Genomic DNA, 19,870 nt, shown 5'->3' with positions numbered 1-19,870 from the left:
CGGCCCGGGGCTTCCTCCCGAGAGGACAGCGGAACCCCCTTCACCGCCAGGCGATAGAAGCCGCGGTGGCCGGCCGGAGGCCCCTCGCATCAGTACGGTTGGGGCACACATAGGCTGAGCCGGCGGCCATGAGGCTGCCCGCGCGCGGGAAGGACCCGCGTGGCTGAAGGCCCCACGTCAGGGCCTGGAGTTGCCACCCGCGTGGACGGTGAGCCCGGAGGCGCGGGCTGGCCGGGGTCGCCGCGCGCCTCTCCGCTCAGAGGGGTCTCTCCTTCGCCACGGGCCTGAGATGCCCGCGAACCCCCTGCCCGGGAGAGGCCGCCCTCGGGGCCACCTGGCGGTCGCGCTCGGGTACCGGGCAAGGCCTGGGTCTGGCTGCTGAGGGAGCTTGGAATTCCCCGGGTGGCCGGAGGGAGAAGGGGCGGGACGACCGCAAAGAGACGCGGAGCGCCCGGGGGGCGCGCGGACGGCGGCGGCGACGGAGCTGGACCCCCCCGGCGGCCACCTGGCCTCCCCCGCCCAGGCGCTGCCGGCGACCAGCGCCCCCTGCCGCGAAGCGCGCCGCCGCCGGGACCCGCCCCCGGACCCCTGCGCACGGCACCGCCCACGCCCCGCCCCCATGTGGGCGCGGCCCAATCCCGGGGCCGCCGGCGCGCGCGTCACGGGCTGCCATTGTTATGCAAATATAAAGAAGGTAAAAGGCGCCCCGGCGCGGCGGGCGAGCTAGTGCTGCGGCGCGTGGGGAGGCGCCTTGGGACCGCGTGGGAGCCGCAGCCGAACCGAGTAGGGACCGGGACCGCGCGGCGCCGCCGTCCCCGGCCGGGCCCGGCCCCCGCGAGCCGAGCGCGCGCCCCCGTCGCCCACCCGGGCGCGGCTGGATGCGGCGGGGTCCCCGCGGCGGCGACCCCCGGCCCCGAGCGCCCGGAGCGCCCAGAGGCGGCGTGCGGGGCCCGGGGACGCCGCGCCCTCCATGCGCCGAGGCGCGCCCCGAGACAGCCGGGGGCCCGCGCCGCAGCCGCCGCCCGCGCTGAGCCCCGGCCCGGCCCGCGGCCCGCGCCCGGCGGCAGCATGAGCCAGGCCGAGCTGTCCACCTGCTCCGCGCCGCAGACGCAGCGCATCTTCCAGGAGGCTGTGCGCAAGGGCAACACGCAGGAGCTGCAGTCGCTGCTGCAGAACATGACCAACTGCGAGTTCAACGTGAACTCGTTCGGGCCCGAGGGCCAGACGGCGCTGCACCAGTCGGTCATCGACGGCAACCTGGAGCTCGTGAAGCTGCTGGTCAAGTTCGGCGCCGACATCCGCCTGGCCAACCGCGACGGCTGGAGCGCGCTGCACATCGCCGCGTTCGGTGGCCACCAGGACATCGTGCTCTATCTCATCACCAAGGCGAAGTACGCGGCCAGCGGCCGGTGATGCCCGCCGGGACCCCGGACCCCGGCCCTGCGCCCGCGTCGTCTCTGCTGTACCTTCCCGCCAACTACCTCGGTGCGCGCCCGGCTCGCAGGCCCCGCCAGAAGGCCCGTGGCCACGGCGAATACGGCGCGTGCGTCCCGGCCCCAGGGTCCGGCAGCCCCGCCGGCCGAGCGCCTCCCTGCGGCCTAGCCGGGCCCGGCCGGGCCGGAGCAGCTTCCCACGGCCCCCACCCGCTCGCCTGCCCGCCGCCTCGCGGGTGGGGGCGGGGCGCGGGCTCCAGCCCCTTTTGAAATTTGAGTCTCGCAACCAGCAAGTTCGGAATCCCGAGATACCGGATCCTCTGCGCAAAATGTTTTCTCCCGAAGGTGAAAGGCGGGCGGCGGGAGCCGAAGGCGGACTCGGAGCGCTCCGCCGCCGCCTTCAGGACCCGCCCGCAGGCCCGGGACGCGCCGATGCCGGCTGCAGCCGAGGAGCAGCCCCGAGGTCCGAGGTCCGCGCCGCTGGCGCGCGGCCGAGGAGACGCTCGGCTGTTCGCTGTTGCTGGTGTTCTAAACTATTTATCTTGTGTGTGTACATTTGTGGGTGGAGTTTGTGCGCCTGGTTTTTTTGTTTGGAAAACACTGCGTGGTCAATGTGGTTATGGGGGGGAGTGATGCATTTTTTTCTAGTCTTAAAACTAAAAACTTGAGTCTACCATTTCTTGGTTGCACTGAAAATACCGCCCAGCCTGATGGTGTTCCCGTGCTGTCCCTCCCCCTTCCCTTCTCCCCGCGTCTACCTCCCCACCCCGTTCTGTTCCCCCTCCCTCCTTCTCCCTCTCCCTCAAATCCGTGAGTTTTGGAAGCCCCAGGGCCTCTCTCCCCCGCCCCTCCTGGATGAGGCCACCATCCCCCAAACCGGCTTGTTTTGCAGTTTCCCCAGGATCCTGGAAGCTCGCTGGCGCTCGAGGGTGGCGGGGACACGGGGGGGTGGGTGAAGGTTCGTTACCTTTTCTAGTGCGTTCTATCATAGTTAACGGTTGCACACTTTTTTAAAAAAAGTAAATGGATTTGCCACAATTAAATGTCATAACATTTATGACAGAATATAAAATATTAACATATTTTAAGCCAAGTTTTAGGTGTATTTTTTGAATCTTGGTTATAAACCCAATTTTAAAGGGCGATGTATCCAGCGTTGTGAAGGCAACAGAGTGTACCCATATTTATATTTTTATAAAATACCTATAAGACTGTGAATCTCTTGTGCTAATGGCTGAGTTAATTGAAGGATCGTTTTGCCCCTTTTTAGCCTCCCAGAGCTTCGAGGACTCAATTCGAACCCGAAATCCTGCCGTGGGGGAGGGGTTGCGTCGAGACCTGGGCCCGGGGAGGTTCTCCTGCGTCACTTTCTGTCCTGAAAGGCGCCCTTCCTGGTTTCTGTGGCTCCAATTTTCTATGCAGCCCCACACCCCTTGTTGTTTTGATCCTGAGAAATAAAAGGGAGGCTGAATTATTCAAATTTAAATGAGGTTTCCCCTTCATGGAAGTGCTGCTGACCCTTCGTGCAGAAATGGGGAGCACTTGAGGACACAGGTGGGTGGAGGCCCTTTGTGCGTGGCTGGTCGTATTCGGGCAGCCCTCCGTCGCTTTTTATAAAACTTTGTGTGAGAAGAATATATTGATAATGTCAGTGAAACAAGCAGACATTGAAATGGAGGCACAGATTACTCCACAAGGAGTTCTTCTGTATATTTTTTCTAGATGCAAATACCTTTTTAATTATGTTAATTAATGTTAAGACTTTCTAGGCTTATATCGAAGCTGTGTGTGGGTCACGGGGTGATCACTGCTAACTGGATAAAGTTTGTGCAGCACATTCCTGAGTGTACGATATTGACCTGTAGCCCAGCGTGAAAAATTTATAAATAAATTTTTCATTGATCTTTTTATATTAAAAAAAAGTTTCTTGGTCCTTCTTGGCTTTGGCACAAGTTGCAGAACACCCTCTCTGGGGACGAGGGTCAGGCTGTGACACGGTTTGTGGGTGCTGGGTGCACAATGCTTGGCTTGTATTTGTCTGAAGACAGAGCCTGGTAAACTCGCTCCCAGCCCCACGCAACGGCCAAGCCCAACCCGGCTGCACACAGGACTCACGAGGACCCAGCACCTCCAGCGTGCCCAGAGCTGGTGTCACAGCCTCTGCTCTGTTCCCCAGCAAAGCAGCTGAGACCTCCGCTGGAGAGGAGAGTTCGGCCTGAAGCCCTGCCCACTCTGACCCGCTAGGGGGTCATGCTGGAGGCTGCCTGCTGCACAGAAAGTGTATCTTGTAAATTGGGGGGAAATCCCATAGCTGCTCACTCCTGGCAGGTAGAAAGTCCCCTGGAGGCACCCGGGAGCTTTGGAGGCCTGCACAGGCCTGGAGTCAAAACACCCCAAAGAGCACAGACCCTGAGTTAGACGAGCATCGGGGCCGGGCACTCCCATTCGCAAGAAAGGAGAGCAGAGCAGGATGGCTGTTGCTGGCACCTGACAGAAAGGAGCAGAGACTCTTGGTCCACTCCTGAGATGCCCTTGGGGCCCTGGGGGCCCTGTACCGGGCTGCAAGGGAGCACACCCGCCCCCAGCAAGAGCAGCCAGCAGAGAGAACTTGGAGAAGGGCAAAGACCGGGAGTTACAAGGTAACAACTTTTCAAACCCCTCTGCCGAATGTAAGGGGAATCTGCTTCCCTAAACCGTGTCCGCAGAAGGGCTGCCCTTCCCACAAACTTTCCCCACGCCTCCGCCTTCCTACTCTGCACTGCCGCCCTGTTTACCCTTGGTTTTCCAGGCGCGTTTTCCGTCGGTTACGCATTTCCTATCCTGCAGAATCGGCCTGGGAGATGGGCCAGCTCCCTGAAGCAGGCTTTGGGAAGTCTTGCCCTGGGCCAGCCCGGGAATGCCCAGCCGTTGGAAAGGAGAGTGGCCACAAGAACCTGGACACGATTGGGGTAACCAGAGAATGAGGTCAGGCAGCCCCAGTGATGGCCAGGGCTATGCTGGACCACTCCACCCTTCCCCACCCAGGGTCTGAAGAACAAAGGTAACATTTGTTACTGGCATTAGCCTGCAGGTGGGTGGGGTCCCAGCCAATTGCTTGCCCCTGCAATATCCGGGAAGTTCTCCCACTGCGGAGAGGCCTGGCCTGGCACCAGGGGCCTCCCAGGCACATGGCTGCCACCCCAGGGTACTCTTTGCAGCTCCCTTAAATTCTGTCTTCTGAAAGATACATTTGACTGAGAAAGGCCTTGTGCTGCTCTTCTCTCGCGCAGGAACAAAAGGAAGCCTGCCCGGGCAGCCCTGTGGGCAGCTGAGGAGAGGAGGGCTGAGAGGGTGGAGCCCTGGAGGGGGTCTGCTTCCTCCCCAGGTGTCGCTGTGTACACTGACCGGCCCGGATGACTGGGGACAGCCTCGCTGACCTTTCTTGCCAGGCACAGCCCTAGGGGGCAGGTAGACACACACTCTAAGACCAGGCACAGCCCTAGGGAGCAGGTAGACACACTCTAAAACCAGGCACAGCCCTAGGGGGCAGGTAGACACACTCTAAAACCAGGCACAGCCCTAGGGAGCAGGTAGACACACACTCTAAAACCAGGCACAGCCCTAGGGAGCAGGTAGACACACACTCTAAAACCAGGCACAGCCCTAGGGAGCAGGTAGAGACACACTCTAAAACCAGGCACAGCCCTAGGGGGCAGGTAGACACACACTCTAAAACCAGGCACAGCCCTAGGGGGCAGGTAGACACACACTCTAAAACCAGGCACAGCCCTAGGGGGCAGGTAGACACACACTCTAAAACCAGGCACAGCCCTAGGGGGCGGGTAGACACACACTCTAAAACCAGGCACAGCCCTAGGGGGCGGGTAGACACACTCTAAAACCAGGCACAGCCCTAGGGGCAGGTAGACACACTCTCTAAAACCACAATTTTCTTCCCACCTCTGGGGGTCAGATTTATGAATGAAATCTCAGCTGGGAGGGTCCAGGTGTTGAGAGCCCAGGAGGACGGTCCGGGGACGCTGAGCACAGCCTACAGGCTTGTCCTTGTTAGGAAGCCCGGGGTAGCACATTCCTAGAAGCAGCTCAGTGGAGGGGGAGGCTGGCCACCTGTGCGCCAAGAGTGGGCCTCCCTGGCCACAAGGGGAGGGGGGGGCAGCTCTGGGGTATGGGCAAAAAGGAGGAAGTACCTGGTCTCTGGGTATGGCCAGGTCGATGCTGCTATGTGTCTCTGATGCCTGTTTCCCTCCTGAGTTCAGGGGCCTGTGCACACGCTTCTTCCAGTGCTTCTGTGTTCAGCAGGTCACTTACTGCAGCAGGGTGTTGGTAGGTATTAGCAGCTATGGTGGGTACTGGCCTATGGCAGAGTTACTGGGGAGTCCCCAACCCCCCTCCCCAGGCAGGCCCCTTTGTGGCCAGGGTGAGAAAGAAGGTCTGGGTGGCCCAGCCTACACCGTCAGCCCCGGCCTCCCAGATCTGCAGGTGTGCCTTGGAGGCCAGGTGAGGTGTCCGGCCGAGAGGCACGGAGGACAGCCACGGTGGAGGGGCTGGCAGGTGGGGGCTGGGTCCCTGGGAACCCCTGAGAGAAAGGAGACAGTCCCGGCAAGGTCAGGGCCTGCCCCACATCCCCCGCCAGGACTGCTGGGCTCCCGTCCAACTGTCTGTCTCTGATCTGACCCCGGCTGGAGGCAGGAAGCACTGACGTTGGAACAGACGCCACGGAAAGACCAGGAAATGCAGGAAGATGGTCAGCTAGAAAGAGTGATGTCTGAAGCCAGCAGGCGTGGGAGCCAGGACACAGCAGGCCAGAGGAGGGTGGACAGGACTTAGAAGCCAGGGAGACGGGTGCAGGGAAGGAAGAGCGGGAAGGAGCTGCCCGCTGGGGTCTGTCCCCCAAAGGCCTCATAGCTCAGCACAGGTTGGGACAGAGGGGTCGTGGACACTAGAACACCCGGCGCACAGAGCCTCCGACATCGGTAAGGCCAGCTGCCCCTGAAGCTCCCTGAGCCTGCGGGGAGGAGGCAGCGTCCACCTGGGCCTTGAAGGACGGGAAAGGAGGCCCCGCGCCAGGGACACCTGGGGAAGGAAGCCTGAGGCCGGGATGCGACGGCTTGGAACACGGGAGGGGCCGTGGAAGGTCTGGGAACCTCCGCAACTGCTGCTTCCAGGGCCTCCAGTGCAGACCCTCCGGGGCTTGGAGGTCCCCGGGAGGCCGCCCTCCACCCACCCCCGCACACTCAGGCTCCACCGCCCGGAGCCGCTCCCCCCGCTGGAAACTCCCAACACCCGTCCGGCGCATTCTTCTGCCGGGCCGTCCTTCCGACCGTCCTCCGCGCGTCCGTCTGTCGGTCTTTCTTCTCTCGCCCCTCCAAAGCCGCGGCCCCCATTCATTCCCGAGGCCTCTGCCCTTTCCTCCGCGCCGTCCGGCTCGGCGAGCAGCTGCTATGCTAATGAGGGCGGGGGGCTGGGGCCGGGGTGCGGGGGGAGGGAGCCGGGCCGTGGGGGGCATGTGGGGGTGGGGGCAGCCGCTCACAAAGCCCGATCTCTACATTCAAAACCAGCCGGGCCATTCCGGTCCCCAGCGCGCCAGGCGGGGACGGCGGGGACGGTGGGGACGGCGGGGACGGTGGGGGCGGGGCGCCTGCGCACCCGGAAAGCGCCCGCACCGCGAGGGGCGAGGGCAGAGCCGAGGGCCGGGCCGAGGGGGCGCACCCGGCTCGCAGCGCCGCGCACCCACTCGCCCCAGCGCTGGGGTCGCGGCCTGGGACGCGCGGCTCGTCCTGGGGACCCCGCCCCGCCCACCAGACGCCGCCGCGCGTGGGGCTAGAGTGCGCCCGGCGCAGGTGGGGAGGGGGGTCCGACCCAGCGCGGACCTCGCCGGAGACACCCCGCCCGCCCCGGCCCGGTCCGCGGGGGCATGCGAGGCAGGGGAGGGGGCGCGCCCGGGGCTCCCACCGACCTCGCCCGGGCGCAAGGGCCGGAGCCCCCGGGTTCCCGAGCCTCGGAGCCGCCGCGGCTGTGCTGCCGCCCTGTGGCCGCCGCCCGCACTGCGCCTCGGGCCCGGCCGCGCTCCAGCGCGTGCACCCCGCACTCCGCCCTGCCCCGGACCTCCGCGGGCCCCGAGTCTTCCTGCCAGCCCCTCGGCCCCAGGGAGGCGGGGCGGGCGCCGGGGTAGACGGCGGGGCCATGTGGGCTTTGCTAGCTCGGGAGCGGGGCGGGGTGGGAGGCTGCGGGGAGCCGGGCCCCAATGCCCGGAGGTCAGGGGCGCCCTGGGGCAGAGGAAGCGGCAGGTACCCCTTAGCGACTCGTGGCTTCTGCAGCCCCTAGAAGGACCCCCAGACGAGGGTCTGGAAAAGTGACCCCTTCATAGTCCTAAACAAGCAGTTGGCAATGGTGTGCCGTTCTCCACGCGGTCCGATGGGAAAGGGAGGCCCTGAGCCGCAACGAGTAAGTAGATAGTCAGCAGGACCACGTGGACGCGACCAACCACAGGTCACACTTCGGACGGGAGCAGGACCCGGCGCCCATCCCTCAGGACCGCCGAGAGCCGGGCCCTCTGGGCCGCAGGTGCCGCTACCTTAGCCATGGAGCCGCAGCAGAGGAGGCCGGCGCTGGAATTGCAGGCTCGTCCTGGCTGCCCCGCCGCACTCCTCTCACGGAAGTGGCTGTGCCGGAGGCGCGAGAACAGAACTCTGTTCAGACGCTCGCGTGCTCGGAGAATGGAGCCTGGAGACCTGGTTCACACCCGCTATGTGTTTAAATGGATAAAACGCTCCTCAGGTCTGTGAGCCTGCAAACAAGGTCCCCACTGCCATCTGCTGGCCCCACAGACAAGAACCCACACAGGAATGAAGCCCAAAATATCCCATAAACTTTCCAAAGAGAAATGACAAAACTGAAATAGTAGTGGTGTCAAAACACAGTGTACTTCTCAGCCCAATGAAGCTGGGATGGGTGGCCCAGGGAGCCCCAGACTTCATGGATAGGCTTTTCGTTCACATGGCTCAAAATGGCACCCCAGATCCAGCCATCACATCTGCACTCCAGCCAGCAGAAAGGAGGCAGGGCCCTCTTCTTCAAGGATGCCTCCCAAAAGTTGTGTTGCCACAGCTGCTCACATCCCATTGGCTAGAACGTAGTCATACGACCCACCTCACTGCAAGGGAGGCTGGGAAATGTAGTCTTTAATCTGTGAAATGTGCCCGCTTAAAACGGAGCCATGGAGGAAGAAGGACTAGCGATCTGGGGGGTAGGGGTTGGGTGGGCGAAAGGCTGTGCCTCCCTCGGTGGCGTCAACATCCTGGCCATGTTGTCACATGCACTTGCTGGCAAAATTCCCAAGCCATGCGCTCACAGTTTGTGCAGTGATGAGTGTGGCAAACACAGCTCAGTTAAAAATAAACATCATTTTATAGATTAGCTGAAGAATACAATGTCCCACGAGACTATGTGGCCATCAGGAAATTAACTTTTCTGACCTAATGGCCCAGGAAGCACTGCGGGCAGCGTCTCGCCCCGTGTAACGCAGCACCCGCAGAAGTGCCCGGGATCAGCCTTTGCCTCGGCGGGATCCTGGTTCCTGGTTCTTCCAAGGGCATGGCGAGGTCCCCGCTCCCTTATCTTGAGGAAAGTAATAAGTAACCCAGCTCTTTCAACTCCCAAGGTTACTTTGTCAATAAAGTGCGCCTTCTCAAGTCTTCCCCTCGGTCTCTTTACGGACTGTTTCTTTTCATTCGACTCCAGACGGAAAGAAAATCGTTAGGTTTATCATTCACATTCCTAAACGTCAGCGTTAGGGTGGTGTAATTTACATGCAATAAAATGCACCCCTTGAGGGTGTGGCAAGTCTTGATGGCTGTTTACACCATGTAACCCACACCACAATCACAATTATATAAAGATATTATTAAAGCCAAGAAAGTTCTCCCGGCCCATCCCAGTCAATTCCTCCTGCCCCAGATCACCACCCATCCGACTTCTAGCACCGTGGATTCACGGCGCCTGTTCCAGAGCTTTCTCTAAAGGCATCACGTGGCACGCGCTTCTTTTGTCCTGCCCCTGAAACTCGTCGCCATGCTGTTGAGATTTGTCTGTGTGGTTCGTGTTTCCCTAACTTCTGCAAGGTGTAGCCTCTTTTTTTTTTTTTTTTTTTTTTTTCGGAACTCGTAAAATCTGGCTGGTGCGCCACAAACACAGGCTCATGTTCCCGGGTAGTTTTTCAGTTGGCACACTCATCCTCCTCCAGAAAGGAACTGCGTCACGAGGACACCCTCCTGGAATCCCAGAGCGTGGCACCGGCCAGCTCTTGTGTCCCCAACAGGGGCCCCGCCATGTTCCCTGGTAGTCCGTCTCCCCTCCCAGGCACTGAGCCCAGGGACTGGAAATCCAACCTCGGAGGGTTGCAGACCCGGCAGCTCCGGTGCAAGGCTCTTCCCACCGCAGACCAGGCCTGAGATCTGGGGCCTCTCCTTTGCCAGAGGAAGGAGGAATGAGCTGCCTACCAGGCACTTTGCTAGGACGAATATGTGAATGTCGAGCCTTGCAGGGCGCAAAGTCAATGCACAAAAGCCAATTGTGATTCTATATCCTGTCAACATTCAGAAAATACCACTAAAATAGCATACGGCAAAACATAAAATGCTTAACAAAAAAATTAATGAAAGTGTGTAATGAAAGATCTCTCCAATGAGAACTATAGAACATTGCCAGAAACTTTTTTTTTTTTTTTTTTTTTCAGATGGAGTCTCGCTCTGTCGCCCAGGCTGGAGTGCAGTGGCCTGATCTCGGCTCACTGGAACCTCCGCCTCGCGGGTTCAAGCGATTCTCCTGCCTCAGCCTCCTGAGTAGCTGGGACTGCAGTCGCCCGCCACCACGCCCGGCTAATTTTTTGTATTTTTTGTAGAGACGGGGTTTCATCGTGTTAGCCAGGATGGTCTCGATCTCCTGACCTTGTGATCCACCCTCCTCAGCCTCCCAAAGTGCTGGGATTACAGGTGTGAGCCCCTGCACCTGGCCGAGAAATTCTTTTTTAAATCTGAATCAAAAGAGATACGTATCATGTTCACTGCCTAGAAGACTTGATAGTGTTATAAGTGCTCCCCAAATTCATCTACAGATTCAATGCAATCACAGTCAAAATCCAGCAGGCTTTCCGTGGAAATTGGCTAGATGATTTTTAAAATTCATTTGGAAACACAAATGTCAAAAAAATAAACAAAATAATCTTGAAAAGAGGCCGGGTGCGGTGGCTGATGCCTGTAATCCCAGCACTTCGGGAGGCTGAGGCAGGTGAATCACCTGAGGTCAGGAGTTCAAGACCAGCCTGGCCAACATGGTGAAACCCCATCTCTACTAAAAACACAAAAATTAGCCGGGCGTGGTGGCGGGCACCTGTAATCCAGCTACTTGGGAGGCTGAGGCAGGAGAATTGCTTGAACCCTGGAGGCAGAGGTTGCAGTGAGCCAAGATCGCACCATTGCACTCCAGCCTGGGCGACAAGAGCAAAACTCCATCTCAAAATAATAATAATAATCTTGAAAATAAAGAACAGGCTGAGCATGGTGGATCACACCTGTAATCCCAGCACTTTGGGAGGCTGAGGCAGGTGGATCACTTGAGGTCAGGAGTCCAAGACCAGCCTGGCCAACATGGTGAAACCCAGTCTCTACTAAAAACAGAAAAATTAGGCCGGGCGCAGTGGCTCATGGCTGTAATATCCCAGCACTTAGGGAGGCCAAGGCGGGTGGATCACCTGAGGTTGGGAGTTCAAGACCAGCCTGACCAACATGGAGAAACCCTGTCTCTACTAAAAATACAAAATTAGCCGGGCATGGTGGCGCATGCCTGTAATCCCAGCTACTCAGGAGGCTGAGGCAGGAGAATCGCTTGAACCCAGGAGGCGGAGGTTGTGGTGAGCCAAAATCATGCCATTGTACTGCAGCCTGCGCAACAAGAGCAAAACTCTCTCAAAAAAAAAAAAAAAAAAAAAAAAAGGCCGGGCGCGTTAGCTCATGCCTGTAATCCCAGCGCACTTTGGGAGGCCAAGGCGGGAGGATCATCTGAGGTCAGGAGTTCAAGACCAGCCTGGCCAACTTGGTGAAACTCTGTCTTTACTAAAAATACAAAAACTAGCCAGATATGGTGGCAGGTGCCTGTAATCCCAGCTACTCGGGAGGCTGAGGCAGGAGAATCACTTGAACCCAGGAGGCAGAGGTTGCAGTGAGCTGAGATCATGCCACTGCACTCCAGCCTGGGCAACAGAGCCAGATGCCGTCTCAAAAAAAAGAAAAAAAAAGGTTTGGATCTTTGTGTGTGTGTGTGTTTGTATGTATATATGTTTAAATGTGTTTATGTATATGTACAGGTATTGTTATATGTTGTATGTAGCATGTTACCAAATTGGCCTATAAGTAAATGGATACTCATAAGTTAAGTCCAAATGTCTATCAGGTTCACATGAATTTTATAATCTTTGGTAAATAAAATGTTTTTTTATTTGTTTGTTTGTTTTTGAGACAGAGTCTTGCTCTGTCACCCAGGCTGGAGTGCAATGCTGCCGCCTTGGCTCACCGCAACCTCTGCCTCCTGGGTTCAAGCGATTCTCCTGCCTCAGCCTCCCAAGTAGCTGGGACTACAGGTGCGTGCCACCACACCTGGTTAATTTTTGTATTTTTGGTAGAGATAGGGTTTCACTATGTTGGCCAGGCTGATCTTGAACTCCTGATCTCATGATTTGCCCGCCTCAGCCTCCCAAAGTGCTGGGATTACAGGCGTGAGCCACCATGCCAGGCCAAAAATAGTTTTTAACTTATTGGTAAAATAAAACTAGAAATATCAGGCTGGGCACAGTGGCTCATGCCTGTAATCCCAGCACTTTAGGAGGCTGAGGCAGGTGAGTCACGAGGTCAAGAGTTCAAGATCAGTCTGGCCAACATGGTGAAATCCCGTCTCTACTAAAAATACAAAAATTAGCCAGGCGTGGTGGCAGGTGCCTGTAATCCCAGCTACTCCGGAGGCTGAGGCAGGAAAATCACTTGAAGCCAGGAGACAGAGGTTGCAGTGAGCCGAGATTGTGCCATTGCACTCCAGCCTGGGCGACAAAGCAAGACTCCATCTCAAATAAATAAATAAATAAATACATACATAAAAATAAATTCTACTTAAAGCCAGGTGTGGTGGCTCACGCCCGTAATCCCAGCACTTTGGGAGGAGGCAGGAGGATTGCTCGAGCCCAGCTGTTTGAGATCAGCGTGGCAACATAGTGAGACCTCGTCTCTAAAAAAATTTTTTAAACCTGGCCAGACGTGGCACACGCCTGTGGTCCCATCCACTTTGGAGGCTGAGGTGGTAGGATGGCTTGAGCCCAGGAGGTTTAGGCTGCAGTGAGCCATGATTGCACCCCTGCACTCCAGTCTGGGCAACAGAGAGAGACCCTGTCTCAAAAAATATATATGTGGGGACCGGTGCGGTGGCTCACGCCTGTAATCCCAGTACTGAGGGAGGCCAAGGTGGGTGGGTCACCTGAGGTCAGGCATTCAAGACCAGCCTGGCCAACATGGAGAAACACTCTCTACTAAAAATACAACAATTAGCTGGTATGGTGGCGCATGCCTGTAATCCCAGCTATTCGGGAGGCTGAGGCAGGAGAATCGCTTGAACCCAAGAGGCGGAGCTTGCAGTGAGCCGAGGTCACGCCACTGAACTCCAGCCTGGGTGACAGAGTGAGACCCTGAAAAAAAAATAAAAAAATAAAAATGAAACCCACTAACTAGGTTTTGTTAAAGATTTACAGGAGCAAGGGCCGGGCATGGTGGCTCACGCCTGTAATCCCAGCACTTTGGGAGGCCAAGGTGGGCACATCATGAGGTCAGGAGATCGAGACCATCCCGGCTAACATGGTGAAACCCTGACTCTACAAAAAATACAAAAAAAAAATTAGCCGGGCATGGTGGCAGGCGCCTGTAGTCCCAGCTACTTGGGAGGCTGAGGCAGGAAAATGGCGTGAACCTGGGAGGCGGAGGTTGCAGTGAGCCAAGATTGCACCACTGCACTCCAGCCTGGGCGACAGAGCGAGACTCCATCTCAAAAAAAAAAAAAAAGATTTACAGGAGCACTGTGACCTGACCAAGGACAGAGAAGTGGCCACAGCCTCCTCAGACCCTCGCTGGCACCCAGATGTGTGTGGTCCTCGGTCCCTCCCACCCTCGCTGGCACCCAGATGTGTGTGGTCCTCGGTCCCCTCCTGATCCCAAGCCCTGCACATAGTTTCTCCACATCCCCCATCCCATGAAAACCCTCCTGCCAGCATGGAAAATGTAAGATACTGGTTCAGGACACTAGGTCTCCAGGTCTCCATCTTCTCGGTTTGCTGGCTCTCCAATTTCTTTTTTTTTTCTTTTTTTTTTTTTTTAATTTATTTTTTTATTGATAATTCTTGGGTGTTTCTCACAGAGGGGGATTTGGCAGGGTCATGGGACAATAGTGGAGGGAAGGTCAGCAGATAAACAAGTGAACAAAGGTCTCTGGTTTTCCTAGGCAGAGGACTCTGCGGCCTTCCGCAGTGTTTGTGTCCCTGATTACTTGAGATTAGGGATGGGTGATGACTCTTAACGAGCATGCTGCCTTCAAGCATCTGTTTAACAAAGCACATCTTGCACCGCCCTTAATCCATTTAACCCTGAGTGGACACAGCACATGTTTCAGAGAGCACAGGGTTGGGGGTAAGGTCACAGATCAACAGGATCCCAAGGCAGAGGAATTTTTCTTAGTGCAGAACAAAATGAAAAGTCTCCCATGTCTACTTCTTTCTACACAGACACGGCAACCATCCGATTTCTCAATCTTTTCCCCACCTTTCCCGCCTTTCCATTCCACAAAGCCGCCATTGTCATCCTGGCCCGTTCTCAATGAGCTGTTAGGCACACCTCCCAGACGGGGTGGTGGCCGGGCAGAGGGGCTCCTCACTTCCCAGTAGGGGCGGCCGGGCAGAGGCGCCCCTCACCTCCCGGACGGGGCGGCTGGCCGGGCAGGGGGGCTGACCCCCCCCACCTCCCTCCCGGACGGGGCGGCTGGCCGGGCAGAGGGGCTCCTCACTTCCCAGTAGGGGCGGCCGGGCAGAGGCGCCCCTCACCTCCCGGACGGGGCGGCTGGCCGGGCGGGGGGCCGACCCCCCCACCTCCCTCCCGGACGGGGCGGCTGGCCGGGCAGAGGGGCTCCTCACTTCCCAGTAGGGGCGGCCGGGCAGAGGCGCTTTTTCTTTCCTTTTCTATTTTTTTATTATTTTATTTTATTTTATTTTTTGAGAGTGAATCTCATTCTGTCGCCCAGGCTGGAGTGCAGTGGCGCGATCTCGGCTCACTGCAAGCTCCGCCTCCCGGATTCACACCATTCTCCTGCCTCAGCCTCCCAAGTAGCTGGGACTACAGGCACCTGCCACCAGGCCTGGCTAATTTTTTGTATTTTTAGTAGAGATGGGGCTTCACCATGTTAGCCAGGTTGGTCTTGATCTCCTGACCTCGTGATCTGCCCGCCTCGGCCTCCCAAAGTGCTGGGATTACAGGCGTGAGCCACCGTGCCTGGCCCAAATATTCTCTTCTTGTAAGGACACCAGTCACATTGCATCCTGATCCACAGTACTCATTTCAGCCTTAAAAAGGAATGGGCGGCTGGGCGCCGTGGCTCACACCTGTAATCCCAGCACTTTGGGAGGTCAAGGTGGGTGGATCATTTGAGCTCAGGAGTTCGAGACCAGCCTGGGCAATGTGGCAAAGCCCCATTTCTATAAAAAATACAAAAATTAAGCAAGCATGGTGGTGCACACCTGTGGCCCCAGCTGCTTGGGATGCTGAGCTGGGAGGATCACTTGAGCCCAGGAGTGCAAGGCTGCAGTGAGCTATGACTCTACCACTGTACTCTAGCCTGGGTGACAGAGTAAGACCCTGTCTCAAAAAAATAAAAATTTTAAAAAAAGAAAAGAGGCTGGGCTCGGTGGCTTACACCTGTAATCCCAGCACTTTGGGAGGCCGACACAGGTGGATCACCTGAGGTCAAGAGTTGGAGACCAGCCTGGGCAACATGATGAAACCCTGTCTCTACTAAAACTACAAAAGTTAGCCAGGTAAGCTACTCGGGAGGCTGAAGCAGAAGCATCACTTGAACCCGGGAGGCAGAGGTTGCAGTGAGCCGAGATCACGCCACTGCACTCCAGTCTGGGCAACAAGAGCGAAACTCCGTCTTGAAAAAAAAAATAAGAAAAACTACGACGCTCTACGCTCATCCTCAGAGGCAGAAGGGCAGAAATCACCAGCTCACACCCCCGGGCAATGGCCACGTGCTGGAGCGCCTTCCATCCCCGTTCCCTTTCCAGCCTCCAGAAACTCCACGAGGTCCTGGACATGAGTCTGCATCTCTTGGGAGGTGCTGAGTGGGTGTCTCTCCCTGAGCTGCACTGACACCTGCTGGAGGCTCTGACGGCCTCAGTCCACGAAGGCCCATGGCAGGGACTGCTCCTTGTAGCTCATCCATCACCAGCTCCACACAGTCAAAGACCTTCTCCTGGGTCAGGTGCAGTGGCTCACGCCTGTAATCTCAGCACTTTGGGAGGCCAAGGCAGGCGGATCACCTGAGGTCAGGAGTTCAAGACCAGCCTGACCAACATGGTGAAACCCCATCTCTACTAAAAATACAAAGTTAGCCAGGTGTGGTGGCACATGCTGCAATCTCAGCTACTTGGAAGGCTGAGACAGGAGAATAGTGTGAACTCAGAAGGCGGTTACAGTGAGCCGAGATCGCACCACTGCACTCCAGCCTGGGCGACAGAGCGAGACTCCGTCTCAAAAAAAAAAAAAAAAAGAACACAGTCTGGGCCAGGTGTGGTGGCTCAAGCCTGTAGTCCCAGCACTTTGAGAAGCCAAAGCAGGAGGATCCCTTGAGCCCAGGAGTTTGAGACTAGCTTGGGCAACATAGTGAAACCTCATCTGTACAAAAAATGAACAAAATTAGCTGGGCGTGGTGACATGCACCTGTAGTCCCAGCTACTCGGGAGGCTGAGGCAGGAGGATTGCTTGAGCCTGTTGCTATGTGCTTGAGCAATGTGCTATGATCATGCCATTACACTCCAGCCTGGGCAACCGAGTGAAACTCTGTCTGGAAAAAAAAAAGTATACTGTAGTTTCACTTCAACTTCAGAAATTCTGACTTTGGTTGATCCTCTGAACATGTAATCGCAGACACTCAACCTGATAGTGCAACAAAAACTGATCCCAAGCCTGAGGCTCTGAAGAAACCTCTGCTATGGATTCCTTCATCTCAACCACAGGTATTGCCAGAAACAAATCTGATGCTTTTTCTTTTGGGTATTCAAAACATTTTTGTAGATTTTCATTGCTTTCCATTCTGTCTACAAAATGTTTCAAATCTTCAGAAAGAGAAGATACATTGGCTTTAAAACTTTCAAGGTGAAGCCAGGTGCGGTGGCTCACGCCTGTAATCCCAGCACTTTGAGAGGCCGAGGCAAGAGGATTGCTTGATCTCAGGAGTTCGAGACCAGCCTGGCCAACATATAGTGAAACCCCGTCTCTACTAAAAAAATACAAAAATTAGGCCGGGTGCAGTGGCTCACACCTGTAATCCCAGCACTTTGGGAGGCCAAGGTGGTGGATCACCTGAGATCAGGAGTTTGAGACCAGCCTGGCCAACATGGAGAAATCCTGTCTCTACTAAAACTACAAAAATTAGCTGGGCGTGGTGGCACATGCCTGTAATCCCAGCTACTCAGGAGGCTGAGGCAGGAGAATTGCCTGAACCCAGGAGGCAGAGGTTGCCGTGATCTGAGATTGCACCACTGCACTCCAACCTGGGAAACAGATTGAGATTCATCTCTCAAAAAAAATTTAAAAAAAAAACTTTCAAGATGGAAAACAATTTTTTATATATAATAAAGAATTGAAAGACAAAAAAAAAAAGAACCAAATGGAAATGGAAAGTTTGGAGTTAAAAAGCACAAAAACTGAAATGAGAAATCCACTAAAGAGGTTGAGCAACAGATTTTTTTTTTTTTTTTTTGAGATAAGTCTCGCTCTGTCTCCCAGGCTGGAGTGCAATGGCTCAATCTCGGCTCACTGCAACCTCTGCCTCCTGGATTCAAGTGATTCTCCTGCCTCAGCCTCCCGGGCAGCTGGAATTGTATGTGCTCGCCATGCAATTTGAGACTAGATCAATAGAAACTACCCAATGTGGGGCCGGACACGGTGGCTCATGCCTGTAATCCCAGCACTTTGGGAGGCCGAGGAGGGCGGATCATGAGGTCAGGAGATCGAGACCATCCTGGCTAACATGGTGAAACCCCGTCTCTACTAAAAAAATGCAAAAAAAAAAATTAGCCAGTCATGGTGGCAGGCGCCTGTAATCCCAGCTACTAAGGAGGCTGAGGCAGAATGGCGAGAACCCGGGAGGCGGAGCTTGCAGTGAGCCAAGATTGCGCCACTGCACTTCCAGCCTGGATGACAGAGCAAGACTCCATCTCAAAAAAAAAAAATGCAAAAAACTAGCCAGGCGTGGTGATGGGCGCCTGTAGTCCCAGCTACTTGGGAGGCTGAGGCAGGAGAATGGCATGAACCCAGGAGGCGGAGCTTGCAGTGAGCAGAGATCGCGCCACTGCACTCCAGCCTGGGCAACAGAGCGAGACTCTGTCTCAAAAAAAAAAAAAAAAACAAAAATTACCAGGACATGGTGGCACACGCCTCTGGTCCCAGCTACTCAGGAGGCCAAGGCAGGAGAATCGCTTGAACCTGGGAGTTTAAGGCTGCAGTGAGCCAAGATTGCACCACTAGCTGAGATTGCACCACTGCCCTCCAGCCTAGGTGACAGAGTGAGACCCTGTCTCAAACAAACAAACCAAAAAAAAAAAAAAAAGCTTTATTTCAAAAAGTTTGCCTAGGGCCAGGCATGGTGGCTCACGCCTGTAATCCCAGCACTTTGGGAGGTCTAGGCTGGAGGATCACTGTAAGTGGGGAGTTTGAGACCAGCCTGTCCAATATGGTATAACCCTGTCTCTACTAAAAATACAAAAATTAGCTGAGCATGTTGGTGCGTGCCTGCAATCCCAGCTACTCGGGAGACTGAGGCAGGAGAATTGCTTGAACCCAGGAGGTGGAAGTTGCAATGAGCCGAGATCATCGCACCATTGCACTCCAGCCTAGACAACAAGAGTGAAACTCCGTCTCAAAACAAAACAAAACAAAAAATTAGCTGGGCATGGTGGCACACACCTGTAGTCCCAGGTACTAGGGAGGCTACAGCAGGAGAATCCCTTGAACCCAGGAGGCAGAGGTTGCAGTGAGCCAAGATCGAGCCACTGCACTCCAGCCTGGGCGATAGAGCAAGACTGTCTCAAAAAAAAAAAATCAATAAAATTAGACAATTTAGATGAAATGGACAAATTCCTAGAAGTTCCAAGAAAGACACAAATTACCAAAACTGACTCAGGGACTTTGCAGATGTAGGTAAGTGTGGACCTTGGATGGGAAGATAATCCGTTATTACCCAGGTGGACACATTTACTTATTTATTTTATCTTTTTTGAGACATAGTCTCACTCTGTCGTCCAGGCTGGAGTGCAGTCGCAGGGTCTTGGCTCACTGCAAGCTCCACCTCCTGGATTCAAGCGATTCTCCTACCTCAGCCCCCCAAGTAGCTGGGATGACAGGAACTCGACACCACATCCGACTGATTTTTGTATTTTTAGTAGAGACAGGGTTCCACCATGTTGGCCAGGCTGGTCTTGAACTCCTGACCTCAGGTGATCTGCCCGCCTTGGCCTCCCAAAGTGCTGGGATTATAGGCGTGAGCCACTGCGCCTGGCCCAGGTGGACACATCTAGTCACATGGGTCTTTAAAAGCAGAAAACTCTTCCTGGCTGTGGTCGGAAGGATGCAGTGTTGCTGACCTTGAAAAATGCAGAGAATGGCCAGGCGCGGCGGCTCACGCCTGGAATCCCAGCACTTTGGAAGGCCGAGGTGGGAGAATCGCTTGAGCCCAGGAGGTCGAGGCTGTAGTGAGCCACAATCACGCCATTGCATTCCAGCCTGAATGACAGAGAGAACCTGTCTCTATTAAAAGAAAAGAGAAGCCAGGCACGTTGGCTCACAACTGTAATGCCAGCATTTTGGGAGGCTGAGATGGGTAGATCACCTGAGGTCAGGAGTTCGAGACCAGCCTGGCCAACATAGTGAAACTGAGTCCCTACTAAAAATACAAAAATTAGCTGGGTGTGGTGGTGGGCGTCTGTAATTCCAGCTACTCAGGAGGCTGAGGCAGGAGAATTACTTGAACCCAGGAGGTGGAGGCTGCAGTGAGTGGAGATCACACCACTGCACTCCAGCCTGGGTGACAGAGCGAGACCTTGTCTCAAAAAAAAAAAAAAAAGTCATTATGATGTGCAC

At 55.8% G+C, this 19,870-nt stretch overlaps 1 protein-coding gene across 1 annotated transcript, besides 15 other annotated features; it reads left to right on the top strand.

Annotated features, from left to right (window-relative positions):
• Window positions 167-806: a silencer, noted in NCBI's record as "silent region_20612". NCBI's record gives its function as "represses an Ori minimal core promoter by ATAC-STARR-seq in GM12878 lymphoblastoid cells {active_cell/tissue: GM12878}" and the evidence as "EXISTENCE:reporter gene assay evidence [ECO:0000049][PMID:35858748]".
• Window positions 167-1,427: a biological region, named in NCBI's record as "H3K27ac-H3K4me1 hESC enhancer GRCh37_chr9:140196022-140196940".
• Window positions 509-1,427: an enhancer, noted in NCBI's record as "H3K27ac-H3K4me1 hESC enhancer chr9:140196022-140196940 (GRCh37/hg19 assembly coordinates)". NCBI's record gives its function as "activates a minimal SCP1, AML or CMV promoter by ChIP-STARR-seq in naive H9 embryonic stem cells {active_cell/tissue: H9 hESC(naive)}" and the evidence as "EXISTENCE:reporter gene assay evidence [ECO:0000049][PMID:30033119]".
• Window positions 726-3,366, top strand: NRARP (NOTCH regulated ankyrin repeat protein). Its single transcript, NM_001004354.3, has one exon. It carries the CDS (start codon window positions 1,069-1,071, stop codon window positions 1,411-1,413), a length of 345 nt encoding a protein of 114 aa, NP_001004354.1. The 5' UTR covers window positions 726-1,068; the 3' UTR covers window positions 1,414-3,366.
• Window positions 1,489-1,568: a silencer, noted in NCBI's record as "silent region_20611". NCBI's record gives its function as "represses an Ori minimal core promoter by ATAC-STARR-seq in GM12878 lymphoblastoid cells {active_cell/tissue: GM12878}" and the evidence as "EXISTENCE:reporter gene assay evidence [ECO:0000049][PMID:35858748]".
• Window positions 1,639-1,698: a silencer, noted in NCBI's record as "silent region_20610". NCBI's record gives its function as "represses an Ori minimal core promoter by ATAC-STARR-seq in GM12878 lymphoblastoid cells {active_cell/tissue: GM12878}" and the evidence as "EXISTENCE:reporter gene assay evidence [ECO:0000049][PMID:35858748]".
• Window positions 1,819-1,868: a silencer, noted in NCBI's record as "silent region_20609". NCBI's record gives its function as "represses an Ori minimal core promoter by ATAC-STARR-seq in GM12878 lymphoblastoid cells {active_cell/tissue: GM12878}" and the evidence as "EXISTENCE:reporter gene assay evidence [ECO:0000049][PMID:35858748]".
• Window positions 3,227-4,120: an enhancer, noted in NCBI's record as "H3K4me1 hESC enhancer chr9:140193329-140194222 (GRCh37/hg19 assembly coordinates)". NCBI's record gives its function as "activates a minimal SCP1, AML or CMV promoter by ChIP-STARR-seq in primed H9 embryonic stem cells {active_cell/tissue: H9 hESC(primed)}" and the evidence as "EXISTENCE:reporter gene assay evidence [ECO:0000049][PMID:30033119]".
• Window positions 5,761-6,428: an enhancer, noted in NCBI's record as "H3K4me1 hESC enhancer chr9:140191021-140191688 (GRCh37/hg19 assembly coordinates)". NCBI's record gives its function as "activates a minimal SCP1, AML or CMV promoter by ChIP-STARR-seq in primed H9 embryonic stem cells {active_cell/tissue: H9 hESC(primed)}" and the evidence as "EXISTENCE:reporter gene assay evidence [ECO:0000049][PMID:30033119]".
• Window positions 7,342-7,751: a silencer, noted in NCBI's record as "silent region_20608". NCBI's record gives its function as "represses an Ori minimal core promoter by ATAC-STARR-seq in GM12878 lymphoblastoid cells {active_cell/tissue: GM12878}" and the evidence as "EXISTENCE:reporter gene assay evidence [ECO:0000049][PMID:35858748]".
• Window positions 9,663-15,771: a recombination feature, noted in NCBI's record as "recombination_hotspot; locus 2 recombination breakpoint sub-region, resulting in interstitial deletions". NCBI's record gives the evidence for it as "EXISTENCE:DNA microarray evidence [ECO:0005524][PMID:19293338]".
• Window positions 12,704-13,951: a meiotic recombination region, noted in NCBI's record as "meiotic double-strand break mapped by DNA meiotic recombinase 1 chromatin immunoprecipitation followed by single-stranded DNA enrichment and sequencing in the germ cells of some male individuals with the PRDM9 A/A and PRDM9 A/B genotypes". NCBI's record gives the evidence for it as "EXISTENCE:chromatin immunoprecipitation-seq evidence [ECO:0000229][PMID:25395542]".
• Window positions 12,929-12,941: a nucleotide motif, noted in NCBI's record as "nucleotide motif; similarity to the predicted 13-mer PRDM9 A binding motif (LD hotspot motif), CCNCCNTNNCCNC".
• Window positions 13,271-13,283: a nucleotide motif, noted in NCBI's record as "nucleotide motif; similarity to the predicted 13-mer PRDM9 A binding motif (LD hotspot motif), CCNCCNTNNCCNC".
• Window positions 15,778-15,827: an enhancer, noted in NCBI's record as "active region_29350". NCBI's record gives its function as "activates an Ori minimal core promoter by ATAC-STARR-seq in GM12878 lymphoblastoid cells {active_cell/tissue: GM12878}" and the evidence as "EXISTENCE:reporter gene assay evidence [ECO:0000049][PMID:35858748]".
• Window positions 16,128-16,227: a silencer, noted in NCBI's record as "silent region_20607". NCBI's record gives its function as "represses an Ori minimal core promoter by ATAC-STARR-seq in GM12878 lymphoblastoid cells {active_cell/tissue: GM12878}" and the evidence as "EXISTENCE:reporter gene assay evidence [ECO:0000049][PMID:35858748]".

This window comes from Homo sapiens, chromosome 9, assembly GCF_000001405.40.
Source record: "Homo sapiens chromosome 9, GRCh38.p14 Primary Assembly".
In the NCBI taxonomy this organism is placed as follows: Eukaryota; Metazoa; Chordata; class Mammalia; order Primates; family Hominidae; genus Homo; species Homo sapiens.
Note: the sequence above shows the minus strand (reverse complement) of the source record. Positions and strands in the feature narration are given on the sequence as shown.

Bases quoted from the DNA above. Each gene is read 5' to 3' on its own strand.
- NRARP (NM_001004354.3), top strand. From the start codon at position 1,069: ATGAGCCAGGCCGAGCTGTCCACCTGCTCCGCGCCGCAGACGCAGCGC.